Source organism: Homo sapiens, chromosome 16 (assembly GCF_000001405.40).
Source record: "Homo sapiens chromosome 16, GRCh38.p14 Primary Assembly".
Lineage (NCBI taxonomy): Eukaryota > Metazoa > Chordata > Mammalia > Primates > Hominidae > Homo > Homo sapiens.
Window position 1 is genome coordinate 56,522,336 of NC_000016.10, and position 8,575 is coordinate 56,530,910.

Here is an 8,575-nt window from a genome sequence, read left to right on the forward strand (position 1 = left end):
GACAAGTTTGGACATGCTTGAAGACCAGAAAGAAAATAATGTGGCTGGAGCCTAACGTGTGAGAAGGGGCCAGGTCACCTAGTGCTTTTGAGCCACGCCAAGGAGCTTGGGTTTTACTCCAGCAGGCAGTCAAGTCCATGGACTGGCATGGACTGGATTTCTATGTAAGGCTGGTCTTGGCCTTCATCCACCCGGCCACGCCTTACTTACTGTATGGACTGCCTAGGTGGCCTCTAACTTTGCGGTTTCTCTTCCTAATAGGACATTACAGTCATCAGCATCAACATCATTAACATTTACTGAGCATTTTTTAGGTGCCATTCTAAGAACTTTATATGCATCATCTCACTTAATCATACAATAATTCTACAATCCTACATAGGATTATTGTATGATTATAATATATAATGTATAATAATGTATGATTATACAATAATCCTACAATCCTATGCAGGATTGTAAAATGGGATAACCAAACAATAATCCTACAATCCTATGATTGTAGGGTTACTGTATGGTTATCCCATTTTACACCTGACAAAACTTTACCATTGTTATCTCCTCTGTAACTCTTCATTGGCTCCCTATTTTCGATCAAAAAAAGTCCAAGCATTTCAGCAGATTATACAAAGATTTCCAAATTCTGACCACTGTTGACCTCTGCAGCCTCATCTTTTGCTGCTTCTTTCTTCAGACTTGATCCTTCTCAGATACCATGTCTAGCCTCTCTGCTCAAATTGTGCCCTCTGCCCAGAATGTCCTTCCCCTCCCTTCATAACTTCCCCCCATCTTTGAAGACTCAGGTTGGACATCACCACTCCAGCAAATCATGTTTGACAGCCTCCTTCATTGCTATTTCCACCCTTAGGAGGCAGCCACACTTCCCCTATGCTTGCGTCAGATCCTGTATCATAATGAGGGTACTTGAGTTTAGGGTATCCCTAGAAAGATAGGGAATCCCCCATCCTCCCTGCCAAGCACCCATCAGGGCAAGGGACTTACAGGCTTTCCTCCGAGGAGAAAGGCCCAGGGCTAACCATCTTCTGCCAAAAGTCCAAGAGTCTTCTCTGCCTCCCATGACTCACCAGGAATCATTGGTTCTTCAGAGGAGACACGTGTCATCCTCACATCAGTGACAGCTGGGACTCCCGAGGATCTAGGCCTTGAAGGTGGGAGAGGAGTTGAGAGCCGGCAGGCTCTAGGGAGACAGCACTACATAGCGGGTAAGCCCTTGACCCTCAACCACATCAGACCTGGATTCAGATGCCTTCTCCATCAGCCACTAGCTGAGACTTAGGCCCATAATTTAATCCCAGTTCTCATATTTATTGAGCATCTTCTCTGTGCCAGGCACTTGACACATACTCTTTTTTTTTTTTTTTTGAGACAAGGTCTCACTCTGTCACCCAGGCTGGAACACAGTGGTGCGATTATAGCTCCCTGTAACCTCAAACTCCTGGCTCAAGTGATCCTCCTGCTGCAGCCTCCCAAAGTGCTGCAATTACAGGCATGAGCCACAATGCCCAGCCACATAGTAACTCATTTAATCACCACCCCCCTTGGAGGGAGACACTGTCATCATCCCCATTTTACTAGAGAGGAAACCAAGTCATGAGAGACTCCATAATGTAAGTCTGAGGTCACACAGCTGATAAGCAGCAGAACCAGGATGGATGACCAGGTGGTCGGGCCGCAGAGCCTGAGCTCCTCACCACTGCACTCTCCTGCCTCCTGCAGTGAATCTCCCTGAGCACCAGTGTCCTCATCTAGAAAAGAGAAATATTAGCAGTCCTCACTCTTAAAGCAAAGCCCAGCCTTCAATAAGGGCTCCCAGAAGTGGTTATTATTATTACCTCTAGGTGAAAGCACTGCCTTTGACTAGTTAGGGTCACTGTTCTAACAAATTTGGTTTTTTTTCTTTTGCTAGTAGGTAGCATTGTTCCCAGTTTCCTTTTGGCCCTGGAATTGGAAAACCAACCTAGTAGCCAAGTTTTAGTGGGACTTGGTCAGGACCAAAATTTAAGATCCTAATTTCCAAGGGTGGGGGAGCCCGATGGGAGGATACCTTAGGCCACACCTGCCACTTGCCATTCCATCTGCTTGTCCTCACATTGAGTTTGCAAAGTACCCCCACTAGAAGGTGTGCAGGTGTACAAAACAGAGATTCGGGCACCTCAAGACTGGATTAAAGGCCTGGAGGGAGGCAGCGTGGAGGGCTCCCCAGCACAGGAGACTCCAGCAGCCTCAGGGCCCACCCTGAGGAGCAGATTTGGGCAGGGAGGCCACCTGGAGAAGGACTTCTGCCTTTTTCTTTATGCACTGTATATGGTTTTTGTTTGTTTGTTTGTTTGTTTGTTTGTTTCCTGAGATGGAGTATCATTCTGTCGCCCAGGCTGGAGTGCAGTGCAGTGGCACGATCTTGGCTCACTGCAACCTCCACCCCCGGGTTCAAGCGATTCTCCTGCCTCAGCCTCCCGAGTATCTGGGATTACAGGTGACTGCCACCATGCCCGGCTAATTTTTGTATTTTTAGTAGAGACAGGGTTTCACCATCTTGGCCAGGTTGGTCTTGAACTCCTGACCTCGTGATCCACTTTCCTCGGCCTCCCAAAGTGCTGAGATTACAGACATGAGCCACCGAGCCCAGCCTATGCACTGTACATGTTTATGCTATTTTTACAGCACGCTTGTTTTACTTTTGTAATTTAAAAAAAAACAAAACCTTTAAAATAAAGTAGTGTAAGGGCAGGGTTTTCTGTGGATTTCAGGAATCCAAATGCAGGGCCTCTCCCCACCCCTCTTGATCCAGAACCTGCCTATAAAGGACCCCAGTCTTCAGTTTCCCCAAACTCTTTAAGGCAACTGGCAATTAGGACCGCTCCTCAATTCGCGGAGGGACAGGGGCTGGGAGACCCCCAGGGCAGAGCAGGCGGAACGGGGCTGGACTCCGTGAGAACTTTCCACCCAGCTTCCCTTAGGGAGCAGTCCTCCCAGGGTTCCCATCCTTCAGTCTTTCATCACTTGACTTCCTTTCTGGAATTCCTGGTAACTCTGTGATGTGTCTGCTGTGGGCCGTGGGGGTGAGGCTCTCCATGTTGGTCTCTTCTGTCAGCTCATTTCACACTTGCAAGAAATGAAATTAAGAATCATACGTTCAAAGTCACTTTGCAATGTGTCATATGAAAAACAGAAACAGCACCTTCCGGTCAGTAGACAGGAGGAAAAGCTACGACTGCTACTAATAGCTAACATATGTTGAGCACTTCCTACGTGCCAGACTGCTAAATTCTTTACGTATATGATCATCTCAATCTTCCCAATAATCATGTGAAGGAGGTAATATTATTATCCCCAATTTATGGATCAGAAACGAATTCAAGCCCAAATTCCATCCCCCACACACACATATCCCATGGAAGTGGTAGGAAAAGCCACTGAAATCAGTGTTAGTTACCTCCCACCCCCACCCTCAGAGACCCATCAGAACCCTGGATATCTAGTGGTGCCAGAAAAGGGGCAGAGGGTCTCAGACCTCCAGTTTCATGTTTGCCACAAGCAACCTTGAGATATCCAACCACACGACACCCTTGGCCAAGCTCCCAGTGGCCTCTTGTTATGGGGGATTTTCTGACATTTTCATGGGCTCGAAAATCCCTGGAGAGGCCACACATCCCAGTGTCCAGGATCCCCTATCACTCAAAGCATCGTGCAGCCCTCCTCTCAGGCCCTTGCTCCACCCCCAGGTGAAGCCAGGGTCCACGGTGTTTCCTAGATTCATGTAGATCAAGCCTGTAAATAATCTTGGAAAAAGTTGCTGAAAATGAGACTAAGTGAGAAGCACTTACATTAAAATGGAATCACTGCACATCTAGAATGTGTCCTGTACAGGCCAGGCTCAGTGGCTCACACCTGTAATCCCAGCACTTTGGGAGGCCGAGGCAGGTGGATCACGAGGTCAGGAGTTCAAGACCAGCCTGGCCAACATGGTGAAAGCCGGTCTCCACTAAAACTACAAAAATTAGCTGGGTGTGGCAGCACGTGCCTGTAATCCCAGCTACTCAGGAGGCTGAGGTAGGAGAATCGCTTGAACCCGGGAGGTGGAGGTTGCAGTGAGCCGAGGTCATGCCACTGCACTCCAGCCTGGGAGACAAAGCGAGACTCCATCTCGAAAAAAAAAAAAAAAATAGAATGTGTCCTGTACAGATAATAGAACTGTTTCTAAAGCTCCCCCACTGTAGAGTTTTTGAAATTGTATTTTGTTATTCTCCATTCACCTCTCCAGATCCGTCCTCTCTCTCCTCTGTCCTGGTCTATGCTGAGAAGGCCAACCTTGGCAGATTTCATGGCCCGTGTAGTCAGATGATGGGAGGGGAGAAAGGTCAGAAAATTGATTCCTTTCCCGCTGCTGGGTATAATTTTGGCAGTGGTTATATTCCTCTACCTACCACCACTGCTTCTGTTGGGCAATTCCTCAACCTCTACTCCAACTTTCCCTGGGCCCTGTAATGCCACCTGTCTCTCTCCTTCCTTCAGGGCTAGGGACAACGACAGTTTCCACTGTGCTTGTCTCTAGGTGCCCCATCATCTCTCCTGGATGTCCCTAATCCTGCCCACACCTCTGTAAATCGTCCCTTCATTAAACTCTGGTTCTGTTGAAAGGTAGCAGGCTCTTCCACACCAAATATACCATTTGACATGAGGATTATTTTAAGCTGAAAGCAGTTGAGAAGAAGCAGATATAAGAAAAGCTTGCTGTTTGCCTCTATTTGCCTAAAGCAGGACATAGGTGTCCTCCTCCCCTTTCTACTGGGAAGGACAAAGGTTGATCAATGAAGATGTCTTCAGGGCCTTTTAGACCAGAGGAATCTTCCTAACAAATTTTACTAACCAGCCTTTACCTACCATTAGTTTCTTGTATATTTGCCTTCCTACAATTTGCGATCCCTTAGAGACTCAAGGTCCTTTTTGTCCTGTCACTTCTCTAAAAATTTATTGTCTTTTGTCAGAGATACTATATAAGCTGGAATTCTAAATCATCTCTTTGAGAATTACTCATTCCCTGGCTGTCTCCCATGCACATATAATATATACATGTTAATACAATCTTGTTTTTCTCTTGCTAATCTGTCTCTTGTGGCAAATGTTAGCAGGGGTCCCAGCTAAGAACTCAGAAGGGTAAAGGGAAAATTGTTTCTCCTCCCCTGTAAACTGTAAACACTTTGTACCCCCTCTTTCCTGCTGGAAACTGACTTGATACACAGACTATGCTTTTGACTTGGCCTTTGTAAAGGAGGTTCTTTTTGGAGTTTAGCATCAGTGTTTCCTGTGAGGGTCGTGTGGCTACAGCTCACCTCCACCTTTCCCCCAGAATGGCAGCATGGTCCAGCATCCTCTCATGCTCTCTCCTGGTCCAAATCTCTGCCCAATCACAGTCACCTCTCAGCAGTCTCTCTGTTCCCACTTTGCCTTCACAAAGCAGCCAAATATCTTTATTTTAAAAGGAGAGAGAATAACTTATTTTGCAAGATGTTACCATTAGAGGAAAATAGGTAAAGAGACTTAAGGTCTCTCTATATTATTTCTTATAATTGCTTGTGAATCTATAATTATCTCAAAATGAGAAGTTCAATTTTTAAAAGTTCAAAGGTAAGAACAGAGGAAGATCAGGGAGCAGCGTGAAAGGCACTATGAAGAAAACACAGAAAGAAAACATGACTATGAAATCACCATGCTGGGAAAGGGAGAAGAATTGTTGTCACAATTCAAGGTACTTAGGTAGCTAGCACTCAGCTTTATCAGTATCCAAAACTGGCACTTCAGAATTTTGATATCGGGGGGAGATGGGGATGGTGAATGGGTACCAAAAAAATAGAAAGAATGAATAAGGCCTACTATTTAATAGCACAGCAGGGAAACTATAGTCAATAATAACTTAATTGCACATTTTGAAATAACTTAGAGTGTAACTGGATTGTTTGTAATTCAAAGGAGAAATGCTTGAGGGGATGAATACCCCATTCTCCAGGATGTGCTTATTTCACATTGCATGCCAGTATCTCAACATCTCATGTACCCCATAAATATATACATCTACTATACACTCACAAAATTTTTAAAAATTAAAAAATAAAATAGAGAAAAAGTAAAAATATCATTTTAACTACAAAAAAAAGTCACTATCAAGATGCTTCCTCAACATGAACTTTCAGGAATTGCAGTCACAGAAATACAACAAAGATGGTAGAGTTGAGAGACTGGGGACTGGAGAATGAAGTGCACACTCACCAAGATCCTGGCCTGCCCTGCACTGGTTTCAAAAAGATCTAGAGCTGTGCTCTCCAATATGGTAGCCTGAGTCATATGGCCATTGAGAACTTGAAATGTGGCCAGTTCACTGAAATAAGCTGTAAGTGTAAAATACAAGACAAGTCTGCAAGAATTCACATAAAATAAGAATTTCAAATATCTGACTAATATTTTTATATTGATCATATTTTGAAATCATAGTATTTTGCATATATTGTGCTAAATAAGGAATATTATTAAGGTTTTTATAAATGAGAAAAGTCCTGGTGTGAAAACATTTTCAGCACTTACTGGAGAAACCAAAGAAACTCTCACAGGTATTTTGTTCCCTTTTGGATCACTTCCAGCAAAATACAAATATGCTATTTCCCCTATCGGGGAAAAAAAAAAAAGCTTTCTCCACCAGGCGTGGTGGCCCATGCCTGTAATCCCAGCACTTTGGGAGGCTGAGGCAGGTGGATTGCTTGAGCTCAGGAGTTCATGACCAGCCTGGGTAACATGGCAAGATTCTGTCTCTACCAAAAATACAAAAATTAGCTGGGCGTGGTGGCACATACCTGTGGTCTCAGCTACTAAGGAGGCTGAGGCAGGAGGATTGCTCCAGCTTGGGAGGCATAGGTTTCAGTGAGCTGAGATTGCACCACTGCACTCCAGCCTGGGTGACAGAGTGAGACCCCTTTCTCAAAAAAAAAAAAAGCTTTCTCTATGAATAAATAACTCTAAATAGTATATGTATACTTCCTCCACTCCGGAGGTGGAGCTTAACTCGCCTCCCATTGATAGATGGGCTGGACTTCACGACTTGATTCCAAAAAGTAGATTATGGAAAGGGAAAAATAGTGACTTCATAGGAGGGAACCTGGCAGACACCATTTTAACCAAGTGACCAAGGTTAACATCACCAGCGATAGAATTTGGTATCAAATACTCCCTGATATGTTGGGATGAGAAGGGCACGTCATCTCTGTGGTTTTCTTCCCCAAATCTATAAACTCTAATCATAAGAAAACATTAGATAAACCCAAATCAAGGGACATTCTACAAAACACCTGACCAGTTTGCCCCAAATCTGCCACGTTTGTGAAAAATGAGGAAATTCTGAGAAACTGTCACTGATTGGAAGAGATTAAGGAGACATGATTACTAAATACAATCCTGGGTGCACTCCTGGGATGGATCCTGGAGCAGAAAAAGGACATTAGTTAGAAAATTGGTGAAATCTGATTAGAGCTGATAGTTTGGTTTGTGATACTGTAGCAATGTTAATTTCTCAGTTTTGACAAACGTACATGGTTATGCAAGATGGTAACTCCGGGAAGTTGGGTGAAGGGTCTGCAGGATCTCTTGCCTAAGGCTGGAGATTGGGGTAGTAATAGAAGAATCAATTGTAAAGAGAACTTTTTGGGGTGATAAGAATGTTCTATCTGTATTTTGATTGTGGTGGTGGTTATATAGCTGGATATATTTGTCAAAACTCACCAAACTGTACATTTAAAGTAACTGTATTTTATTTGTAAATTATGCCTCAAGAGAAGTGATTTAAAATATTTTTTAATAAAAAAATGGCCAAGCGTGATAGCTTACACCTGTAATCCCAGCACTTTAAGAGGCCAAGGTGGGTGGATTGCTTGAACCCAGGAGTTTGAGACCAGCCTGGAAAACAAGGTAAAACCCTATCTGTACAAAAAATACAAAACAATTAGCTGGGTGGGGTGGTGCCCACCTGTAGTCCCAGCTACTTGGGAGCCTGAAGTGGGAGGATGGCTTGGGCCCAGGAGGTCAAGGCTGCCGTGAGCCATGATCACACCACTGCACTCCAGCCTGGGCAACAGGGTGAGACTGTCTCAAGAAAATAAGTTAATTTTTTAAAATAAGATCATGTCAATCCCATATATAAAATTCTCCAGTGGCTTCCCGTTACCCATGGAATAAAATCCAAACTCCTAACCTGGCCTACAGAGCTCTGGTGTCTGGAAATCATCCCAACATATCAAATTTGGTCTCATCTCCTGGCCTTGGCACTTACAGTTCCCTCCACCTGGAATCCAGCTGAAATGTTCTGCCCCAAATCTTTTCAAGTCTAGCTGTGAAGGGGTGGGGTCTGAGCCTTCTACACCAATCTCAGCCTGAAACTAGGCACCTCCTACTCCAGGTTCCAGAACTCAAACTCCAGCCTAGGCTTCTCGGCTCATCTGAGAATCAAGACTCAAGCATCCACCCCTGACTCCTGCCCATCCCCAGTGGAACTCAGATGGCTCTGCAGGCCCTC

General features: G+C 44.6%; 1 long non-coding RNA gene across 1 annotated transcript; it reads right to left on the reverse strand.

Moving 5' to 3' along the window:
• Positions 2,644-6,456, reverse strand: LOC105371283 (uncharacterized). Its single transcript, XR_001752206.1, has 3 exons — positions 6,286-6,456; positions 5,352-5,487; positions 2,644-3,123 (listed from the first exon to the last, which is right to left on the reverse strand). It is a non-coding gene; the product is annotated as an uncharacterized LOC105371283 (long non-coding RNA).
• Between the last annotated feature and the right edge of the window lie 2,119 nt (positions 6,457-8,575).